This window comes from Homo sapiens, chromosome 2, assembly GCF_000001405.40.
Source record: "Homo sapiens chromosome 2, GRCh38.p14 Primary Assembly".
Lineage (NCBI taxonomy): Eukaryota > Metazoa > Chordata > Mammalia > Primates > Hominidae > Homo > Homo sapiens.
Genome location: NC_000002.12, coordinates 1074846 through 1099073, shown reverse-complemented (window position 1 = coordinate 1099073; position 24228 = coordinate 1074846). Strand labels below are relative to the sequence as shown.

General features: G+C 44.5%; 1 protein-coding gene across 15 annotated transcripts in view, besides 2 other annotated features; it reads right to left on the bottom strand.

The window, feature by feature from the left end:
* SNTG2 (syntrophin gamma 2) overlaps nt 1-24228 on the bottom strand; it is a 416765-nt gene that overhangs the window by 268540 nt on the left and 123997 nt on the right. For 13 of the 15 annotated variants that reach the window (NM_018968.4, XM_047444795.1, XM_017004374.1 and 10 more), the window contains exons 2-4: nt 15419-15556; nt 822-878; nt 664-721 (exon numbers count right to left, since the gene is read on the bottom strand). In NM_018968.4, the coding sequence (NP_061841.2) occupies nt 664-721; nt 822-878; nt 15419-15556 (253 nt within the window). Of the gene's footprint in view, nt 1-663; nt 722-821; nt 879-15418; nt 15557-24228 lie in introns of those variants that run through there. The other 2 variants (XM_017004363.2, XM_047444794.1) reach the window with 2 other exon arrangements.
* Nucleotides 7698-8199: an enhancer, noted in NCBI's record as "H3K4me1 hESC enhancer chr2:1086561-1087062 (GRCh37/hg19 assembly coordinates)". NCBI's record gives its function as "activates a minimal SCP1, AML or CMV promoter by ChIP-STARR-seq in naive H9 embryonic stem cells {active_cell/tissue: H9 hESC(naive)}" and the evidence as "EXISTENCE:reporter gene assay evidence [ECO:0000049][PMID:30033119]".
* Nucleotides 20571-21087: an enhancer, noted in NCBI's record as "H3K4me1 hESC enhancer chr2:1073673-1074189 (GRCh37/hg19 assembly coordinates)". NCBI's record gives its function as "activates a minimal SCP1, AML or CMV promoter by ChIP-STARR-seq in primed H9 embryonic stem cells {active_cell/tissue: H9 hESC(primed)}" and the evidence as "EXISTENCE:reporter gene assay evidence [ECO:0000049][PMID:30033119]".

Here is a 24228-nt window from a genome sequence, read left to right as displayed (position 1 = left end):
GGGGTTCATTATGTCCAAAATCGAATTGTATGAGAAACAGTCTACCCGATAGTGGAATGTGTGGCCAGAAATCCCACCCTCACTTTTCGATTCTACACAGAGTAATCTCTCCCTATGAATGTCAGTTATTCTTGTGATTATTCCCATAGCCAGTGTTTCATTTCAGGGATGGAGGTGGTAGTCAGTGCAGTACCACCAGCTGCCAAGTGCAGAACGGACGGCGTTTCAGCCCCACCTGAGCGCGGTCAGCTAGTCCTGCAACAGGCTCATTACGTTCTTAGGCTCAGAGACTTGTGTATCAGATACTTCAACGAACACCATGGACTTCTCCATCTATATGTAATTCTCCTCGATTTTTAAAATACCTTAAAATCAGCATTCAAACCCCTGAATCATCAATATCTTTAGAGGGGGGATAACCTGATACCTCAAACAGAGAATTAGTGTCTCTCTTAAGGGCCAGAGGGATCAGCAGAGGTTAAAAAGGGCAGCCTCAGATCAGGGCATAAGAAGCATCCTTTGAAACAAGACACAGCTACAAAAATAAAACGGAAGTTTAGGTAATCGAGCAAAACACATATCTGCTGATTTTTATCATTTTCAGTAATTTGTTATCTCACAAATGGCTGTGATGCATACACAGGTCATTTTGGCTGTTTTTACCTGCTTGGTCTTCGAATATTTTTGATATGACGACAGGGACGTTGTGCTCAGAACCTCCCTGAAAGACAAAGCCATCAGAAAGAAACGTGGTTATCATGATTCACACTGGAAAGTTCTTCAAAAATAAAAAGCAGGAATAGAGAAAACCATTTCCATACCTTTATACTCAGGCCCAAGCCGCCAACTGGCTGTCTGCGGAGTGTAACAGTTCTGCGCTTTAAAACATTTTAGAAAACAAACCAAGTTTAGGTTAAAATGCACTATCAGAAAGTGAATTCAAAAGAAATTCTTCATTTAAACCCAAATACGTGTTAAATTATATTTCCAAAGCAACTTTGGCTAAATATGACAGTAATGACACTATTTCAAATCTTTACTCCGTGGTATTGCACGTATGAAAACGAAGACAGTGATAAAGAATAGGCCCCATTCCAGGCATTGTCTGAAATCCAGGAAGAATCCCCACAGAACTGTCATCCCGTCTGCATTCTGCTTGTGAGGAACGGAGCTCCATGAAGAAACGAGGGGTCCACCTTCTCCCAGGTGGTGAAAGGGAAGTGGGGCGGAGCACTCAGTCCTGTTTTAGAACCGCTCTCTACCCACCAACCCCAGGACCGGCTCACGCTTCACTGTACGTCTCTGCTGAAGTCAGCCGTGTTTAGGACAATCTTCAACCAATATTAATTCATGAATGATCCATTTTTTCACGTCCTCTGACCACAGATGTCTGGGATATTTAAGGGTAGGTTGTGATAAAAAGCTAAAAGCACAATAGGCCTTTAACTGGCTAGTGAAATGGTAAAAAATCTCCAAATCTCTTGCGCATTAAGCCATGCACCTATGTTTTGCTGTGGTCTAATCTGATGAATGCGACTGTTGCCAACTTCAGGTAGACATGAGTGACTGGTGCTGCTCTGAGGGGGCGCACAGAGGCAGCCTGGGGTAGACGGACAGTGGCCAAAGGGTGCTTTTACCTCAAAAATACACTACAGGAAAAACAGAAGTGACAGACATTCTTTGAGTTCTAAGAGGAAACATGAGCATGTTCAGGCTGAATGGCTCTGAAAGGAATCTGCTGTGCAAAGCAAGGACAAAGAAGTAAAAGGGTGGCAGAGCCCACGCCGAAGGGGGGACCTGGGAGCTCCCGCCCCGGCCAGCGGTGCAGGTGCAGATGCAGGGAGGCTGCTGTGAGGGCTTCCGCAGCCTGAGATACCCCAGGAATGTCCTTCTTAGGGGGAAATACTTCATAAACTCAAAGGAAAGAAACCAAAAATTAGAGCAAATATACCTGTGTTAAAGTGTGTATATGGGGACACAGCAAATAATACTTTAATTGGAAATTTTACCATTTCGATCCTTTTTGGACATATAGTATTTTTAACTGACAAAAATAATTTTATACACAGAAAAAGAGCCGTATTTCGGGGGCTTTGCTACAGAGTGATCGTTTTGGCTTTTTCTTGGTGTTAGACTGTATTCCAGATACTGTGAACAGCAAAGTCAGAGCCACTCCTGGGACATCCATACCACGGGCTCTCATTGCATCCACATTCTCAGTATTTACCTGAAATGCCACAGATGCTTCCCAGTGACACTGCACCAATGGACAGAGTAACAGGCTCTTAAACCTGCTCATCAAAGCATTACTGACAACAGCCAAGATATGGATACAACCCAAGTGTCCACCAGTAGATGCGAGAATAAAGAAGATGCAGTAGATACACCGAATGGAACATCCTTCAGCCATAAAGAAGGAAATCCTGCCATCTGTGGCAACATGGATGAGCCTGGAGGACACTGTGCCGAGTCGAATAAGCCAGGCGCAGAAAGACAAATACCACACGGTCTCCTGCATGTGGAATCTAAGGATGTTGAACGCAGAAGCAGAGGGTAGAACCGTGTTTACCAGGGGCGTTCAGGGTTGGGGGGCGGAGGTGCAGGCCAAAGGGTGCAACATTTCAGCTGTAAGGTAAACAAGTTCTGTGGCTCTAATGGAAAGCATGGTGACTATGGTTAATAATACCATATTTCCTTAAAATTTGCTAAGAGAATAAACCTTACATGTCCTCACCACAAAAAACAAAGGTAACTGTAAGAGGTGATGTATGTATTAGCTTGTTTGTAGTGTGCATTTCACAATGTATATGCATATGAGAACATACCCTGTACACCTTAAGCATGTACAATTTTTATTAGTTGTAGCTCAATAAAGCTGAATAAATAAATCCCATTATGTGGACAGAGGGTTTCCAAGGATATCCTCTATAGAGGAGGGAGAGGGAGTTACTCCTGCATGTGGGAGGCATACCGTTTTCCTCCTCAACACATGGACGGTTGACTTTGCAGGCCAGAATGCATCTCACAATGAATGTGGACTGCAGAACCAAGGGGGGGTTCATTCCCTCCCTCAGCAGACGCTAAATTCTGTAGTGTTCATGGCCAACTGAGGGAGTGGGGAGAAAGGCGTCCGTCCACCTGCCAGCTGCTCCTCTGTGTGCCACAGCAAACAGCCTTACGCTTCTGAGTTCTAAGGCTATGGAGGATGAGAAAATTGAATTATCTACGTCATAGTAACTGGAGGCCTCTCTGTATGGAATTTCTGAAAATGCTCAATAACATTTTAAAATTGTAGCTGTTAGTGTAAGTATTTGAAACTCATGCAAGCAAGTACAAGACGAGAGAAAATACATTTTGAGAAGAAACAAGTTAGTTTCTGCCTTGATAGACTGCCAAAGAATGACATTTTAAAACTGTCATTTGACTCACTTATACATGTCAGGAAGATATCCTGAAATACCCTAAAATATCCTTGATATTTCAAAGAAAATATCAAGAAACTGATCACCTGTGGTAAAATCTGGACTAATATTCTTAACAAGATAGGTAAGAAAAAAATTACACCATTAACAACCAACATAAATATATGTTTACTGGAATGTGAAGGGCTTGTTCTCTATGATTTTAGCTAAGCCAGAATAATATTTATTTCATACCTGCTTTGTGCAGTCTCTTGAAATGTTCCTTTCTGTGTACATTTGTACTAGCCATTTAGGTATTTAGGTCTCTAAATCTCTCTAAAATCAAGTTTCTGCATCTGGAAAGTGAGAGCTGTACTGTGAGCCCTAATAGGAAGTGCTGGGAATGGGACTGTGTCCCCCTAAAATCCGTGTTGAAGTCCTGACCTCCAGTGTGACTGCATTGGAGGTAGGGCCTGTAGGAGGTAACTAAGGTCAGATGAGGTCATTCAGGTGGGCCCTATCTGATAGGGTTGGAACAGGAAAAGACAGCAGATACAGCGCTCTCTCTCTCTCTTTTTTTTTCTCTTTTTTCTCTCTTGCTCTTTCTCTCCCCACCCCCACCTCGCTGTCTCTACCATGTGAGGACACACATATAAGGCCTTTGCCTGCAGGCCAGGAAGCTGGCCCTTGCCAGTAACTCTACCATATGAGGACACACCTATAAGGCCTTCGCCTGCAGTCCAGGAAGCCAGCCCTTGCCAGTAACTCTACCATATGAGGACACACCTATAAGGCCTTCGCCTGCAGCCCAGGAAGCCAGCCCTTGCCAGTAACTCTACCACATGAGGACACACCTATAAGGCCTTTGCCTGCAGGCCAGTAAGCTGGCCCTTGCCAGTAACTCTACCATATGAGGACACACCTATAAGGCCTTCGCCTGCAGTCCAGGAAGCCAGCCCTTGCCAGTAACTCTACCATATGAGGACACACCTATAAGGCCTTCGCCTGCAGTCCAGGAAGCCAGCCCTTGCCAGTAACTCTACCATATGAGGACACACCTATAAGGCCTTCGCCTGCAGTCCAGGAAGCCGGCCCTTGCCAGTAACTCTACCATATGAGGACACACCTATAAGGCCTTCGCCTGCAGTCCAGGAAGCCAGCCCTTGCCAGTAACTCTACCATATGAGGACACACCTATAAGGCCTTTGCCTGCAGGCCAGGAAGCTGGCCCTTGCCAGTAACTCTACCATATGAGGACACACCTACAAGGCCTTCGCCTGCAGTCCAGGAAGCCAGCCCTTGCCAGTAACTCTACCATATGAGGACACACCTATAAGGCCTTCGCCTGCAGTCCAGGAAGCCGGCCCTTGCCAGTAACTCTACCATATGAGGACACACCTATAAGGCCTTTGCCTGCAGGCCAGGAAGCTGGCCCTTGCCAGTAACTCTACCATATGAGGACACACCTATAAGGCCTTTGCCTGCAGGCCAGGAAGCTGGCCCTTGCCAGTAACTCTACCATATGAGGACACACCTATAAGGCCTTCGCCTGCAAGCCAGGAAGGCAGCCCTTTGCCAGTAACTCTACCATATGAGGACACACCTATAAGGCCTTCGCCTGCAAGCCAGGAAGCTGGCCCTTGCCAGTAACTCTACCATATGAGGACACACCTATAAGGCCTTCGCCTGCAGTCCAGGAAGCCAGCCCTTGCCAGTAACTCTACCATATGAGGACACACCTATAAGGCCTTCGCCTGCAAGCCAGGAAGGCAGCCCTTGCCAGTAACCAAACCCACAGCACCTTGGTGTTGGACTTCCACCTCCCAGAACGGTGAGAAGGGAGTCCCTGCTGCCTAAGCCAGCCCACCTGTGGTTCCTTATTACGGTGGAGCCCAAGCTGCCTCAACAGGAGTGAAGGAAGATCACTGTGGAAAGCACCTTACAGACCATCAGGTTTAACAAAAATACCAAGGTGGTTAGTTTTATCCATGAAAAATCGTTATTTTAAAACCACCTCATTCAAACACCAGGACTTCAGTGTGTCAAAGTTGAGAGAAAAGGCTCAGCCAATTTGTGTTTTCACACTTTTAGAAATGAACATTATATAATTATGAAGGCTCTAACATTTTAACATTAGCATATCTAGGAACTTTACTTTTCAAACCAAGATTTATAAAACTTACTGGATGATAAAAAGTAAACAGGAAAACTTCTGCAGCTTCTAACTGGAACTTTTCACACAGCAGCCTGGCTGAAGTTATCCTGCCTCCTGCATCCTAATTATTTTATGACCCCAGAGGCAACCCACAGCTGATCACTTTAATTTAAGGTTCTGGGTAGCATTTCCATAGTGCTCTGTTAGCTGATATCTAGACAAACTAATGTCATCAAAAGGCATTTCTAATGCAACCAAAACAGTCCGCTGCCTCAATGCTCTCCCAGTACATACCCCTTAAAGTCAAGGACCCACAAGCAGGTGCGGATCGTGAGCTGCCCCGAGGCTCATTATGAATCTAATTTATGGCCTGACTCCCCTATTCCATGCGTTCCCCCATAATCACGGCCTCCTCACTTACCATACTCAGGGGCTCCAGGGACTCACCAAAGGAACAAATTCAGAATACAATCGAATGTATCATAAAACTTCTACAGAATGGAGGTTGCAATCTAAGGTAATTGTTCAATAAATTATTTTCAAAGTCAATCCTGCTTTTCTTTTCACAAACATATCAGATAAAATCTTTCATAAAATATTATTCTGCATTTTATCATTTAATCCCAAACTATGTTATGACATTTAATTAATGTTCACATCTTGGTAGCAGCATCATTATATTAATAATAGAACATAGCTATCTCCACATTATCTTCTGACCACATATTTTAAGAACGAGCTATTTTCTATGACATAGATAACTTATCAATTATACATTTCTCATCAACAAAAAAGTGGTTTGGGGGTATATAAGATCATATTTCTTATTCTGGTCTTCTAAAACATTGTTCTTCAAGTTATTACTGAATTACATGTATGAATGGGCCTCACAATTCTACTTCAGATATTTAAACTGTGGACTTAACACTAAATTTAAATTTGTTATGGCTGCAAACTCATGTTCAGATTTTAATACTGCAGTTTCCAGAAAGATTTCAATCAGTTCTACAGGTAAAACACTGCGCCTGTACCATGGCCACCAGCCAGGACCCTGCCCCCAGGTTTGTTCAGCCCAAAACCCTTCTTGTGGTGAGGACAGGATGACCTGGGGTGTTAATCCCCCTGCTCTCTCCCCAGGTCCTCGTCGATCCCCCTCCCTTCCCTGGAGGTCTTACTCCTCACACAGGCCTGGCCTCACTCTTGTAAGGAGAGAATGGAGATGTGGGAAAGGCGAGGGACCTAGAAAATAAGGGTTTTTTTTTCTCTCTCTAATTGAAGGGCTTGAAAGTTAAATTTTAAAAATTAGAAATTTATAGAAAAACAATTCTGAAGTATTCTATTTCACACCCACACATGAAAGATACTTTCAAAAATACTCATAGAGTTTTATTTCAGAAAACAATGTGCTAACAGACTTCGCCCTGGGGCTATGTGAGGGGGCTGTTGAGTCAGGAGGCATTGTTTCTTCCACAGAGTTGGACATTCCCTTTGCTTTAGCAAACACTCTATAAGGCATTTTTCAGAATGGGGCATTGAATCTCTCTCCACTTTTTAAAAGTAATTCACTCAAATAAAATTTCCTAAATAGGCTGAGGGAGCCTGGATTTGCCATCTGAAGTAAGTAAACTATTTCTCAGTGTCTGGATGCAATGATTTCAAACTAAGAAGAGTTACTTGAAAACTCTTGTGCATATTTGCTTAATTTGGATGTTAAATCCTTATTAGAAGGATTTCAATATCCTGGGATTAGAGTTTTGAAAAGTGTATGATAACTCCTAAATTTTAAAAATTCAATGATTCCATAGTATTCCACCTTCTTGAGGAGTTGGATCTGGCTTCTCACACCCAAAGCCCTGAGTATGAGTTTCTTCAGGTCTAAGCACAGGCCAGGAATGACAAAAGCTGCCCTTGGCGGGCTTCATGGGGGAGCGGCCCCGTAGCCCTAACCTGATGCGGGGACAGTGCACTGGGGTCTCTGGGAGCTGCAGTCAGGAACCAGGCCCCCGGCCGCCATGACCTTATGATGTTTGCGTCCTGGCATCAGAGTCTCTGGTCCATCTGGAGCCCCTGCCTCGATCCCTGATGGGGTACAGGAGGAACCTGAAGATGCTCTTCTCCTCTGAATTAGCTTCCAGGGCTTTTCCACCCTAAGCTGTCCTCCCCCAGCCCCTGTACTGATGGGCCTGGCCCTCCAGGGGAGCTGTCCCAAGTGGTCCAGGGACCTGGGGCTGGCAGCTTTCCTGGTCAGCCTGGCCTGCACTATCAGGGCAGGTGATGAGGAGCAGGGGTGTCTGTCCATGTCAGCTGCCTCTCACCTGCCAGCTCCACACCTGGCAGCACTGCTCTTGCCAGTCAGCTGGGCACCCACCAAGATTAGTCACAGATGCGAATGGGCCTGTCATCGCCCTTCAACTTCGCTCTTCACAACCATATCACAGAGCAGACATGAACAGGGCAGGAGATGGGCCCCAGCCCCAGAACGTCAGGCGACCATCAGGTGGTGGTCAGGTGGTTGTTACACTTTCTCTCTAAAATGATCATTGGGCACAGCCAGTACCAGGAAAAGGCAGTCTCCCGGTAGATAGAAAACACCTGAGGCTGGAGATAAGCAGCTTCCCGATAAGATCTCAGGAGCTGGGCAAGTGGCCTCAAGCATGCACACTTCAAGACAAAAGGGTGGTATTTAACTGGTCTATGACTTTCCTCTGGGTGGACTCAACTGGTGAGGGAAAAACGCCTCAAGTGAACATGTGCACAGCCCCAGGAAACACACAGTGCATGCGGCCCCTCCCAAATGCTGGCCGGCCCTGTACATGCAGACAGCCCACCCCGAAGGAAGAATCAGGGAAGGGGGGCTGCAAACCTTGGAACCATGTCAATGGAGAAAACCCCAAGTCAAGGGCTGGATGGGGCTCTTGATCTCTCAAGTCACCCACCGGCCCTTGCAAATGTCCTTCACTTCCTTTCATTCCTGCTCTAAAACTTTTTAATAAACTTTCACTCCTGCTCTAAAACTGGCCTCACTCTCTCCCTCTGACTTAAACCTCTTTCTGCCCCTCAACCCAGTTCTTTCCTCCAAGGAAGCAAGAATCAAGTTTGCTGCAGACGGTTGTGGATTCACAGCTGGTAACAAGAACTCACCACATATGAGCCCCAGATTAACTTCTAGCGAATGTACACATCATTGCAAAGTTAGGCTTATTAAAATAAATATGTTGGTAATATTGAAAATATAAATTTTTCTTGTGGGGACTTACATCCAACTAAGAATGTGCAGAAAACTTATCAACTTTGGACAGTTCATATAACAACTCATAGTCCTTAAAGGAATGGACTAAGTAGATCTACATGGAGCAGGTTTTATCTTCATGCATTGTAGATCCATTTAAAAAGCATAACGTTTGCAAAATGAGCACCTAATGGCATTCCATTTATCTACAATTGAAAAACACACAAAAAATATGTTGTCTGTGGAAAAATGCGTATGAAGGAAGAATTTAAAAATGTAAATGGAACAGTCGGTAGGAGCATCAGTACCGAAAGGCCAGTGAGGAAGCAGTCAGGCTCCAGATGTGGAGGCACACTTCACTCTTTAATAACGTAGACAGAGCCAAAGCAATCTAGTGCTATGTTGGCATATAATAAATATTAATAATAATTGCACAGGGTTCTGTTTGCTCACTTCAATTTTTTTAGGTTTGAAAAATTATATACTTAAAAAAATAAAAATGTTTGGCAGATTATGCAACTGTCTTTGCTGTTAGATTTTAGTTATTGAAAGTTCTACTTGAGTGACGCGCTATTTGATTTCTTTATAAAGTGTGCTTTTGTGTGCACACACCCTCGTACACAAACATATGTAAACTATTATTATTATTATTTTGAGACGGAGTTTCGCTCTGTCACCCAGGTTGGAGTGCAATGGCACAATCTCGGCTCACTGCAAGCTCTACCTCTTGGGTTCAAGTGATTCTCTTGCTTCAGCCTCCTGAGTAGCTGGGATTACAGGGAGCTGCCATCACACCCGACTAATTTTTGTATTTTTAGTAGAAACGGGGTTTCACCATGTTGGTCAGGCTGGTCTCAAACTCCTAACCTTGTGATCCTCCTGCCTCAGACTCCCAAAGTGTAAACTATTATTTTTAACTAAACCTTGGTGTAAACTTTTATAATGAATACGGCCAAACTGTTCATTATTTTAAGGTTTTCATATTCTTTAAACCAGAACTTTCCTTATTAAAGTGAACCCTATTCTGGGTACCATTAAATAACATTTTAATGAGCTAACTCAATAGTGTTGAAAATTAAGGTGAAGGTAAATTTTGTAAGAGTCGGCCACTATCCAAGTGATGACAGATAAATTCTAGATGTTTTGCTGACGACTGCATTTTGTTAATTGTTTCAGAAGCCTTTTCAGCAAGACTGTCCACTTTTCTCCTGAAGGTATGAATTTCAAAGCCCTGGTTCATCCTTGCAGCCTTCAGCCCCGTACCTGTGAAATTTCACAAATCACTTGCTTCCAAATTTATCTGCACTTTTCCCAGCACTTTGTGTCTTACAGTTTGTTTATGTTCCAATCATACTGCCTCGCCATGCCATCCTCCGCTGTGGAGACAAATCTTTTGGAAATAAATTCATCCAAGAAAAAGGCCAGTGGCCATTTTAAACACAAGAGAAATCAATTTCAAACAAGAATGGATGCCTTACAGAAGTGTAGTTAGTGATTTTCGTAAGAAGGATATCCTCCCACTTAAAGCCAGCCAGGCAATCAGCAAGACATCTGGTAGGCCCTGGGATAGAACATAACGAGGGAAGAATTCATATTACAGTTTGACTATGGACACACTCTAATGAGCTTATATGATTCTTCCACTGGTGGGTGAGTCACTGACAAATGAAAGCTCCGAATGCAGTTGTTTTGCTTTCTGTTTTCTACTTTCTAGGAACAGTAGCCAATTCTTCTTATGCAGTATTCCATTTGTAAACATGCATGTTTGCTCTACACTGATGAGCTCTGTGGAGCACAGGCCGAGGTGTCCATCAGACCTTCCCCTAATGGACTAATGAGAGCTCACATGCCCTGAGCAGGACCAGGGGTGCCAGGCGGAGTGGGACCCAACCAAGAAAGACAGGTTAGGCGACACACACAGGCATCAGAGCTGACTCAGTGCATGAAGAAGCACACAGAAACTGGTTTTCAGAAACTGGAAAGAAACAGATTCTGTGTTGGGATCTGAGAAAAATGGAAGAGTTAACAAACTAATAAATGTTTGTCAATAAAGTTATCAACAGAAAAATACATAATGCTGATAAAGTGTCCAATTAGCTTAAAAGGGTTCCTATTAAATTACTTGTATTTTGGCTGAATTATAAAATATTGTAAGGGAAATTGGTCATTTGCCTAATTTAAGGACATAAAATAATAAAGATTAAGGTTAGAATTTAAAAAAGTAAAGCAGAAGCGATGTCTACTCCTGATTTTGGACCCAAAGAATAAGAAGCAACTTGGGTGTGAAATATAGATATAAATTTAGATAAAGTAGCCATGAAATATTGACTGTATGACAAGCAAGTGTAGAATTTTGTATATTGTGTATAGAATTTATCATAAACTCCTACACGCTTGCAAGTGTGATGATCCATTCAACAATCTGAGAGACTTTAACTTCTTCAATTCAAATTCAAATCACAGATCTTGGGTTTCCTTCACGTTGGTTGTTATAGAAGCAATACACCTACATTTTAAAAATGATTTTCACAAGCTCAGTGGACCACTGTAATTGCCTGCCTTTTGAAGGCTCAAAGGCTTGAGACTGACTCGATTAGTACATTACCATACGTTATTTAATGGTCTTAATTTGCATATTCTAAAATATGTCTTTTTATTTACTTATGCGCTCAATCATTCAAAAATGGCTTTAGTCTCATTTGCACAGTTGTAAAGATACATATAGGAAACAGAAGAAAACACCATGGTCTTTGATGTTAAGCTACATATAGTCTAACAGAGTGGCAAAGTCAATATCACATACTGCAGCATCAGCAGAGTGTGGCCAGTGGCCTAACCTGCATTTACCCGGGAACAGTAAGAGGTTAGGTCAGGGCTAGAGCACGATGTACTTTGAATTCTGATAGTTAAGTCTACAGACTTACATTACCCTGACAAAGCCTTCCTATAGGACAGACAGAACAGCCATGCTACACGAACTCTTCTGGGAAGAAGAAAGAGAGGAAAGCCCTCCAAACTCTTCATGAGGCCAGCACAGCCATGAGGACAAGAGCAGGTGTGCACAACAGCAGGTGCGCATCACCAGAAGGAAGTGCCGCTGTCTTTTTATTTACCCCTCCTGCTATCTGTCGGCCATCTAAACCTGAGGGCTGCTATCTGCCAGCACTTACGTAGACTTGTCAGCCCTGCCTCCTTGACCTCCGTTTCCTGCCACCCTCCTTCTGCTCCTTAGCACCCCGGATTCCTCAAATGTCAGCAACCCCAGGCCACTCTCCAGGCCCATTTCCCTCCATGTTTCCCAGCTCTCTGTGCTCCATTCTGTGTCATTTCTTCAGCTCTGTTTATACTTCATGCTTCTCATTGGTACCTAACACGTTATTTAAATTGTTCATGGAGGTTCATTTCAGGTATTGTTTCTATTTTAATTTCTAGATATTATCTTGGTGTGTTTTCACATCTGCTGGATGACTTTTTATAGCCCCTTGTTCCTTTTTCATATTTATATATCCTATTTCATGTTTTGAAACATAATAAATCCAAGTACTTTATATTGTGAATCAGATCATTTTTAACCTGAATTGTCAGTGAGTCCGTTTCTGCATTAACAAATAATTTTAGGATCTCCACAGGGTCCTGTGACCTTACACTTGGCAGTGGCCTGAGGCCTTCATTAGAGTAGATTGTGCTGGAGAGAATGTGCATTTTGCTTCTACTTCGTACCTGGGGAACCTCCAAATCTGAAACATTAAACTTCATTTTCTGCTGGTGGTTTCTATGTCATAAATCTCAGCACCAAACCCCCATGAGGGCAGATGTGGGGTTGGGATCCTTCGGGATTTGTGTCTTTGTCTCTCTTCCAGGTGAATGTTCTGACTGTCCCTTTCTAAGGGACAGATTGTTTTTCAAGTTCACTCACAGAAGATCTGACTTTTTGGGCTTTCTGCTTCTATGCAGGAGAGAGAGAGACAGAGAGAGCGAGAGAGCGAGCCCGTGTCTTCCTCTCTGGCTCAGCCCCTGGGCTGTCCCCTGATGCACAGGTTAAATCACCTCACACCAGTTTCCGTGATTGAAGCCCTCTCTAAACTCACACTATTTTAATAGTCACCCAGCACTGTTTGTGTTGGTGCTGCTTGTGGTTGTCTGTTTCTTGTGTGGTCTTCACTAACTTATCAGAGAGCATCCCTTAGATTATAAATTAGCAGAGCTGTGCCCATTGCTGTCTTAACTATGTGAGTAACTGTAATATTAGACGCATACCTTCTTCTTCCTGAATCTTAATTTCCTAAATAGTAAAATGAAGATGTGAAATTTTCTAAAATACTTTCCAACTGCAAATCTACCGTGACCTAACATAACAAGTGTAATATACAGCATCCCACCCCATTAATTCAAAGTACCAACATGGACTTATAAATTAAAAGAACATCTAATGCACAATGACAATTATAAAAGAAATAAAGCAATCTAAATGGAAATTCTGAAAGGTAAGAGGAAGCCGGCTCTCCCGTCCTGAAAGCCCACACTGTCTCTGGGAGACAGAATCCTGAGATCCTTAAACATCGACACTTCATGTCACTATAAAGGAATAGGAAGTAAAATAATACATCAATTCAGATTCTGCACTGCTGGATACACGGACAGAATTTAGAGACCTGTTGGCTTTGTTAAAGGTAAAGCTAGTTTTGCTCTTTTTTGTTTTATGGTCATCTATCATTAACGGATAATGTGGTTCTATTTTCAGCAGGTTCAAGAAAACAAAACACACATCTATCCGTTAATGTTGTCTTCTCCAATGTGCAGGTGGGAATACAAATATAACTAGAGGTTTGGAGTCAATAATTCACCTAAAACTGTACGCATAAGTCTATACCTATGAGCATAGGCCCATTTTTCTTAAGGAGTCTTTCATTTTCACCAATAACCTAACTTTTGGTAGAGAACCTGATGCTATAGACTTTTAAAATGTAATTTATTTTTTTCTAGCCAATACAGCATAAAAACATTTAGTGTTTTTACTTTGAGATTTTCTATAGTTAAAAATCTCTATTAAGCAGGGTAAGTTTAAAATGATTACGAAAGCTTCCTTGATTTTTTTCTTTGCTCAAGCCCACTCTTATTAGGTATTTAGAACAAGTGGAGGAAAAAAAATAATGGTTAGTGATTAGACGACATAAAAGCAGACATGCGATTTATCTACATGTCGGGGAAAAAAAGCCTCAGGGTTGTGGGAATCTTGTATGAGCCCGTGAAGACCGACAGTGGCCTCTTGAACGCAGAGGCCGTGGTTGGGATGTCTGTGTCTCCCCCAAAGCTCACGTGGAAACTTACTACCCAGGGCAGTGGTGCCGGGGTGTGGGCTGTGGGAGGTGACTGAGCCATGAGGGCTGTGAGCTCATGAATGGGGTCAGGTGCCCTCACACGAAAGCTTGGCGGAGAGATCTCACCCCTTCCTCCTCCCGCCACCCAAGGACACAGTGATCGTCCTCTCTGGAGGATGCAGCATTCAAGGCGCTGTCTGGAAAGAGAGCAGACCCTCACCAGACCACCCAGCCTGCGGGCACCTTGATCCTGTGCTCTGAGCCTCCAGAACTGTGAGCAATGCATTTCTGTTCTTTGTAAATTACCCAGCTTGGGGATTTTGTTACAGCAACTCAAACAGACGAAGACAGATGCAGTCCTGGAGCCAGAACGAAGAGGGCACGTGGTGGGATGTGGTTCTGGGGCTGGGGTTCCAGGGAAGAGCAACTGAAAGGGGGACCCTGCCCCCATCCCAGAGCCTTCGCCTCCTTGAGCCACAGGGGACATGTTGGGGAGCAGGAGGGCGGACCGGGTGCCAGCCACAGAAGGAGGGGCTCCAAACTGAAGGTGTGAGCCAGGATGTTCACAGGAGCCACTTGTACACGATACACATCAACAGCAGAACGGTTTACGGTGGGATCTTTGTGGACCTTCTCGGGAAACCCGTCATACTTTGCTAACATCTGCACCTCTTTCAGAAACACTGATCACAGGATTGCGAGTAAGGGGGGAAATGCCCCCTTCATTTTATTTCCAAGGTAAAGGACAGGAGGACTCAGAAAACCAAATAGACACAGGGTCTCCTAAGCCTGTGCCCCCAGAAAGGGCCAGCCTAGAACGTAGGAATGGAAATGGTTTTTGGAATATTTTCAAAAACACACTGAAAACATTCCACATCTCACATGGTGGCTTTTGGGGGTATTTCTTTTTCTTTTTTTCCTTTTTTTTTTGAGATGGAGCCTCGCTCTATTGCCCAGGCTGGAGTGCAGTGGTGCGATCTTGGCTCACTGAAACCTCCGCCTCCTGGATTCAAGTGATTCCCCTGCCTCGGACTTCCGAGTAGCTGGGATTACAGGCACACGCCAGGATTGGGGCTATTTTTTACGTAAAGCTTTACATGGAAAATGTATTGGCAAATAAGAAAGTCAGGGAGAGAGTAAATAATACAACCTTAAAAACTGTATTTTGTGACACAGTGAAAGCCAGTAGTTGGGGATATTTAAATAACGAGTAGCAGCTTTTGCTCAGCAATCATTCTTGAACCACACTTTTCAAAGACCGTTCATGGGGCTCGTCCGAAACACTCCAAGACTTCCCTGAAGTGATGGCACTTACATTCCTGCCCTGGTGGCTTCCGCCCACACAGACAACATCTTGTTTCTGAATTGTCAGCACCTCTTTCGTCAGCTTCAGCCGGATGTCATAGGCATTTTCGGACTCTTCATCATACAACAGAGCAATAGTGGTTTTCGTCTGTAGGGACAAAGTGGAAACACAAAAAAATGGTGTGAGGGCAGGAGCCAGGGGTGGGGATAGGTGACGCACGCCTCCTGCTCAAGACAATCCTAAAATGCACGTGTAGTGCTCGCGTGTGCACAGATCTGTGCTCAACCGATAAGGATTTGATTCATTTATGCAAAAAATAATAAAATGTTGAATAATTGTTCCTGAGCCGTTTTTGTAGGATTTATATAAGGCATGTTTTTAAAAGAAAATTAGCCAGGCGTTTGTTTTTTTTTTAACTTGTGAAGTTTTATAGTATTTTATTTTAATAATTTTTCCCACTTCCAAATATATATATATATATTTTTTTAGTTTAACTAAAGTTATTTGAATAAAAATGATAGTTTTTAAGATTCATAAAATATCTGTGTGAAGGTTTGTTGGCCTGGAGTAGGAAAGGAACACATTGGAAGTAACGACAGCCGAGGAGGAAGCGGCCTTCTCAGAAGGGAGCAGGTGGGCGTGGCCCAAGCTCCTGCAGGGGCTGCTGCTGTGTCTTGGGAGCTGGGGAACAGGCCAGGCCTGTTGTTCCTGGACAGCAAGCAACACAATGTGGAATTGCTAGGAAGTATTGATCAGGAGGGAAGTTTAATTAGTCAAAGAAGATAAATCTATCAGCTTTGTCAGCAGATGAAGGAAAGACAGTTCAGAAAGACACCTTTGGATCATTAGAAACGTTGCCTCCTCCTCCGGGAGAGTCAGGGAAAGCCACCCTGGGGGCTCCAGAGCAGGCCGCCGGTCAGGCACAGGGCTTGGGCGTCCCACAGGATAGCAGTTATGCCCGGCCACATGCCCAGTGCCTTGTCGGGACCCAGCCTCCGGAGTGCAGGAGCAGGGGTGGCAGCCAGGGCACTTGGTCCTCATGCCACGTGGCGGGGGAGAGGGATGGGCACAGCTGGAGGCCAGTGGCCCAGCAAGGAGGGCTGAGACTCCACCATCCTCTCTGCCTAGAGCCCCAGTGCTAATCAACCCTCACATTCAGAGCCATACATGAGGGCAGAGCCTGGCCCACGGACGGGGAGGTCCCCACGTGTGAAGGATGAGGCTGTGGCCACATAGGACCCTGCAGCTCTGCAACTCAGCTGCTGTGAGAACCAAACAGGGGGTTCAAGGAGCCCCAGCGCCTGCGTCTGCCCCAGAGATCCGGAGTTCATCAGGTAAGATCCAGGCTGAGCAAAAGGATTTAAAAAACCAACTCATCAAATAGCAAAAGGATTTAAAAAACCAGCTCATCAAATAGCAAAAGGATTTAGAAAACCAGCTCATCAAATGCCTCCATTAAGTAGCACAGTGCGGTAGGAAGGGCTTGTTGGGCTTGTTTCCACAGTGGAGGCCTCCTCAGCACTCATGGGAACCACAGACCATCGCCGAGGGAAGCTGCCAACCAAGCCAGAATCTGCTCCTCCCAACATCCTCAGCTGATCCCCACGCACAGGAGAGTTTCAGGAGGGTTCCAAGTGGTTTCCTCTGGCTTTCAATCACTCAACACAGCACAAAAAAGAGTGTGTGCCCCACTGCATTGCATCTGGTAATTTAACAACCACACATGCAGGACTGTGCTCACACACACTGTCACACGTGACTATCTGGCTGGCAGCCCAGGGACCGGCCACTGCAATCCACACCTCACCCAGCATAAGTAAAACTGCACCCAATGGGAACTCTAATGGTTTCTTCCCATCCCTGTGGGCACTGTGTGCTCCCACCCACTTCGCTGACCCCAGGGGGCTGTACACGGGTGAGATTGCCAGACCGGGTGGGTGCTGGAACTGGGAGTGCTGCCACGGCTCTGGGAGCTCACGGGACGTCTGTGGATCCACCAGCTCTCTGGAAGGGGCAGTGCCTGTGGAGGCACCAAGGGCAGCCGGGAAGGAGGCCCTGGCTATGTCCCAGGTGCATGGGGTGTGGCTGGACCCAGGCCCCCTGGCCCTTTGCAGCCTGACTGCTGGCCCTGCCTGACCGAGGGCTGAGCTCACTGGAGAGATGAAGAAATGTAGACATATCCCTAAGGGCAGGAAGACCCTCCTCAGTATTTCCCCATGAGTGTGTGTAACGTGTAACTCTTATAAGTGAACACTCGACTGGGAAAACAGAATTCTAGCTAACCAGCATGAAACAGGATGAAACGTAGGTGCCCGCAGCTCCCTGCCTGACTTTGATGTGCGTTCTCACCACACCTGTGAGGATATCTCACCATTGCCTCCCGCATTTACTCTCACACACGGGCGCCTGATGACAAGTGGGCATCCCCCACTCCGCTGCACACAGAGGGAGGCAAGGCCAGCTCCGCCACAGGGCTGCAAGCACTGAGCCCCTAGCCCAGGCGTGTGGGCTTGACAATGGGAGGGGCTGAGCGATGGGGCTTCCTCAGGACGCCGTGGCCTGCGGAAAGTCAACCTGTTTGCCGTAAAAGAGAAGGGCCCTGAGGCTTGGGAGAGGTCCCAGGTCCCAGTCTCTCTCCTTGCTTCTCCTGGGGCCATGGTTCTCACGCTCCCTGCCAGTTACTATGACTGACAGCTCTCAGGCTCTGAGAAAAGGAAGGGCCACCAGCGTTCTCGGTAATGATTCCTGCAGAATGGAGCTCAGAAGTATGTCCTTAATTGTTGACCTAGGCCACCCAAAAACACAAACACCTGCTGCTTTTATAGCATCCAGACCTTTCTCATGCCACCACCCAGGAAGCAGCCATGCCTCTTCCAACTTCCAACCTCCCCTCCCACATCCTATAAACCACCTGCACACACACCCACATGCAACACACATGGCCCACATGCATACCTCCACACATGCCCAAACACTCATGCACACACATACAGGGATGCATGCACACACACAGACACAAACACGGGCACACAGACACACACACACATGCAACACACATGGCCTACATGCATACCTCCACACATGCCCAAACACTCATGCACACACATACAGGGATGCATGCACACACACAGACACAAACACGGGCACACAGACACACACAAATGCATGCACACACATACACATAGGCACATACACACCACAGAAGAGCAAGTGTATCAATATGCTGAGGTCAGCACATGAATAAAAGTTTTAGCTGATACAGACCAAGCCTGGAGTTGTAAAGTTGGAACCCAAAACTCAAAGTAAAAGTCAAATTCCTATAAAAATAAGTCACAGGCAGTGTCTGGAAGGACGCACTCACTCTGAGTGCATACAGAGGCCATATCATCCTGCTAAACAGGCTTTCTCCATGATGACCTAGGAATCTCCCTAGCAATAGGAGCTCTGGCTAGCCTAATTTCTCCAGATCCCCCAGTGACCGATGCATCTGAGCACATTCTTGCTGCAGACTTTCACTAAGCCATCGCTTGTCCCCCAGCCACACCATTGCCCAGGACAAGTCCCCCTCGCCACCGCCCTGGGGGACCCGTGGGGCTCTCATGGAGGACCTCAGGGGCGGCACTAATAAGGAGCAGGACCCGGAACAGGGTGCAGAGACCCCAAGTGGCAGATGCGTGGTGAGCAGCGTCCACAGTGAGCAGTGGGCCACTCCCAGAGAAGCTCAGGTAGTGCAGCCGCCTTCGGAGGAAGGGCTTGCTCTGCTCTCGTTATTCAGGACAAGAACAGTTTTTAGTTCACATCAAAAAGATGTGATATTGATCGATGTTATATCTTGATGTAAAGTCCACACTCACATAGGATATTAACTTCCAACTAATTCATCACGCTGACCACTCACCATTGCTACCGGTTAATTGTCCTGGTGAGGACATTGCCTGCAACCCAGGGATCTAGGAATGGAAAACACTGAACTTGGTGTCCACAGAGAACAGTTTCCATGACCGAGGACACGGGAAGGGTGTGCCGAGCTTTAACAAATAAAACATAGTATTTTAAATATATAAAATTTTAAATGCTAGCTAAGGAAAGCAAATAAGATTCAACAAAGACCTCTAATAGATCATCTGTTGTTTTATTACACCGTGCGAACCAGATGATGCCATCTGAAATAAACCTAACTTCTGCTCAAAATGTTAAAAAACTAAAGTCAGGAACACAACCAGATTAGAGGTAATTAGGCGTTCCAAATCAAAGTTGCAATTTATGCTAATCCCTTTCTTCTATACTAACACACATTATGTCAAATTGGCCTTAGTTTTCCAGAGAGAATTATTTGCCGTAATATGCAGTAATATGCCCTCCAGGCACTGCTTTCTGTGCCCCTTCCTGTGCCCTGGAGACATCACCTGTAGCCCTCCAGGAAAACCTCTGTGGACAGCCTGGGCACAGAGGTGCTGAGATAACAGCAGGTCACTCACCAGGAGGAATAAAAGCAAGGAGAGGGGACGCGGGTTCCGCTGGGTCCTGCCTTCTCCAAGGCCCACATTTCCCACTGCTTAAGTGATTCTGGGTATTTAATGAGCTAATTGAATACATTTCCTTGACACATTTCTTGGAAATAAAATAGTTATTCCAACTCAACTTCTTCAAAAGTAAACTTTGAGTCTTTCCCATTCAAAACAAATAAAAATATTTAAAAACAAAAGCAAAACCCCTTCTCATCCAACGATTCCCCCAACCCCAGTGGGTGGCAACGGCATCACCCTGCTGTCTTGGTTGAAACTCCTCAGTTCCTGTGACCTTCCTCCCTCCTGACCCTCAGTGTCCAACTCACCAGCAAATCCCCTGAAATGTCTCTCCCTCTGCCTGGGGTCACGGGGTTCAGTTGCCTTCAAAGCTGCTTTACTGGCCTCATAAAAGACCTCCCTGTTTCCAGCCTTGTCCCAGTTCAGTGTATTCTTAAGGTCACAGCTGGGCGGCCCTGTTAAAATACGGTTCAGGTAACATCATTCTCTGAACAAAATCTCCCCAAAGTTTGCCATTTCTCAAAGGAAAAGCCAGTGTCCGGTGATGCCCTGTGAGGCCGGCACCTGCAGTCTCTCCCTGTCCCCTGTCCAGCTGTCCTGCAGCGCCGCCGTGCCTGCCTGGGGCCCATCCACCTGCCCTGCCCAGCTGTCCTGCAATCCTGCCATACCTGCCTGGGGTCTGTCCACCTGCCCCACCCACTCCTCTCCTGGCATCCTCATGTCCTGGGGTCTGGGCTGAGAGTCCCCTCCTCGGCAGCTTCCCTAACTGACCAGTTAAAATCGGAACTCCGCCATCCCCACTGCTCTTCATACCTCTTCCCAGCTTTATCTTTCTCCCTAGAACTTCTCAGAACCCATGTGCCGCTTGACAACAGAGCATGAGTTCCATGATGGAAGGGTCCTCTCTACCTTCTCCACTTCAGGGGGACCAGCTTCTACAGCCCAGCCTGGCATATCCGAGGGGCACAAGACAGTTCTCAAACGGAATGCCACAGGAAGCCTACTTCCACCCTTGTAACTTTATCCATGCAGTTCCAATAAAAATCCAGTACAGACAACTTTGAAGTGTAGCCTTACAATTCTAACAATGTGTTTAATGAAATAAGACAGCTGCAGAGAAAAGGACCTGCTACAGAGAGACATGAAAACATAAAATCCACCACGATGCCACAGCAGCCGCAAAACAGTGAGGGCCGTGAACCCGCGTCAGCACCAGGAGGTCTCGGGTACCTGTAGGGTGTATGACATCCCTGGAGAAAAAAAAACAAAAAACATTCCTACGGAGAAAGATCTTCAGACTACTGCTCAATGTAGTAATGCTTTGATAACTGTAAACATGGGTGTCATATGCCTCATTTCACAAAGTTCGTTCCAGAGAGATCAACAGTCACAGGGATGTAGAAAAACAAAATAAAAACCTGTGAGGAAATATCAGTGTGTGTGTGTTTGTGTGCGGGGATGTGTGTAAGCATATTGGGTTAGTGTGACTCAAAAGCCAGAAGTTCTTGAGTGAAGGATTCATTACATAGAAATAAAAAACCTTTCTGTAACAAAAATACCATATTCGAAACTAAATGCGTGCCGCAGACCCGGGGTTCATGGAGCCTCACATGAGGAAACACGAGCACCCTGTGAAAATTGAGCAGGGAATATAAAAGTCATTCCCAAAAGGAGAAAGAAAAGAAAATGAATTATAAATGTGAAAATACATGCAACCTCACTAGCCATGAAAAAACCACAGTCACTACAACATTAAGAATTTTAAACTACCAGGCAGGTAAATGTTTAAAAGGAATAGCAACACCGCACACCAGCAAAGACGTGCGGACATGGACGTCCATATGGTGTTGGCAGGTGTGTGTGAACGCACAGAATGTTCCCAGAAAACACTCAGAAACAGATGTGAACGTTGACTAGGCCTCGGTTTTAATGTGGCATTTTTACTTCTAAGAATTCATCCTAAACATACAATCAGACTTGGCACTGAGAGTGGCGGGCAAGGTGTTCATTTCACACCTTTCATTTTAAAGTGCATTATGATTTATAGGTGATACTGAGAAGCTGCTAAAAATATTTAGTTCAGCATCTGTTGATAAGGAGTCCAAAAATAACAAGCATGTGTGAAAAGCAGAAGAGTATGATAAAAACTAATATATTAAGAATTACGTACGTACATACATGTAAATATAGCATGTACATATATACATGTAAACATAGCATGGAGAAGACTCAGAATAGGGTTTCAAAACATTAATAATTTATGCAAATGTTTATAATTTTAAAATTATGAAAATGCATTATTTATTATTGATTATTTAAATCTATGAAGGTCAATTTTTTTATTAAGTCCTGATTTTTGTTACTAAAGTTGATTTACCTTCATAAAATTTAAGGTGAGTTTCTTAATAATTTAGAATAATCATAAATACTAAATTTACCTATTTTACTGCTTTTTAATTTATTTATGCAGCTGAGTGCATCTCTGCTGAGATCATTCTCGTATGTCTTTGTTGGAAGCATAGCACACTGATGCCTTCTAGCAGATTCAAACAGAGAAGGCTATTCTAAAACAGAATATACTTGACATAAAGTATCACACAGCATAACACTCACCAAATAATTATTGCTATTCTATAGATTCAAAGTGTGACAAAAATGTATGCAAGTTGTTATAAAGCATTGCCCCTTGTTTATCCAGAAGTCAGTATATTTCCTTCCCTGAATCGCTGGCATTGAGAGAATCAGTGAATGCATATCAGGTGCTGGAAGAAGCGTAAAGAGCCAGGAAGAGGCACGGGGAGGAGAAACTAACCACGCAAATTACTGGGCCATACGGGTGGAAGGAAGGAACAGACTTCCAATTTAGCCCAGTTTCTAGAAGTTAACAGCTAAGGGAGCTGTAAGAAGTGCTTGGTTATCAAGAATTCTAAACTTCTAATACTGTGCCTTCTGACTTGGTCAACTGGGTCTACCAAAGATTGAAGGTTGTATGGAAATACATCTGTATACTGGTGGTATAACTGGCATTGAAGATTTTTGCGTGACCAATGACTTTAGTCATATGTAGAACATAAGCCCCTGGAGGAGGTGGAGCGAGCCACAGACACGTCCGACGACGTCTGCCACGTGCTGCCTACACACAGGCGTGCAATCTGCCTCACCGCTCTGTGCCTCTGCTTCCTGATCTGTAAAAGGAGATAATTGCAACTTTATTCAGACACGCAAATGGGTAAATGAGACGGTATTTGTGAAAGTTCCTAACAGAGAACCTGTCACAGAACAGCAGTGGTCCAATACAATTCAGTCATTTTTCTGGCAGGTTATCTTTATGGATATTTTCATGTTAGTACAAATGAAACCATTTTTTGGCACAAGAAAGAAAAATAAACTCTCTTAATCCAGCAGCATATCCAACAAACAGAAAGAATGAAGACATCAACAAGTAATCTATCAGCAAATGTCATTTGAGTGAGGAAAATCCACACTCCTAGTTTTAGATATAAACCAAAACAATTCGGATAAGAAGAAAAACGAACGCCACTCAGTTAGTGTCCCACTAAGATCTACATAGAAACAATGACAGCTGCCCTTGGAAGGTTAAATGAAAGCAGAAACCTGAGCATGCATTTTCTTTCAGTGAACAATGACAAACACTTTCCACATTTTCTTCCAATGAACAATGACAAACACTTTCCATTGGAAAAATGGATAATATTCTGCCCATCAAAGTTAAGAGTTTGAAGTTTAGAGACATAAAATGAAGTCCCCATAAAAGCAGGGTCTTTGGCTGAGACTTGCTGGTGGCCACAGCTCAGCCCTGCAATGTGTGGTAGCTGCAAAGGACGTAGGAGCTGCCACTCAGGTCGTCCCCACTCACTTTGCATCCCAAGAGGCCAACAGTGCCTAGGACAGGCTGGGGACTCAGTGAGCACTTCTCCACTTAAAAACATGCACACATGTGTCTGTTTAATTATACTCCAACCCTCATCTGATCCATTTTTCTTAGTTATGTGACTTTGGCTAAGTTATTACTCTTTTATGTGCATTATTCTTGGCACCTGTAATGAGGAGAATATTGGATCTCTATGGTCCATTCTGTATAGTCAGATATGATTCCATGATTATTTTATGGATTTTTTACTTAAAATGATAAAATCTGATTCTTGGACCAACATCGCAGTGAAATAATAATTAAATTAGATTACACACGTAAAACTGATTCAAAAACTTCACAGTGCCATGTGAATCAAATGGATACATTCCTAAAAACTATTGTTTCTCTTAGGATAGTAT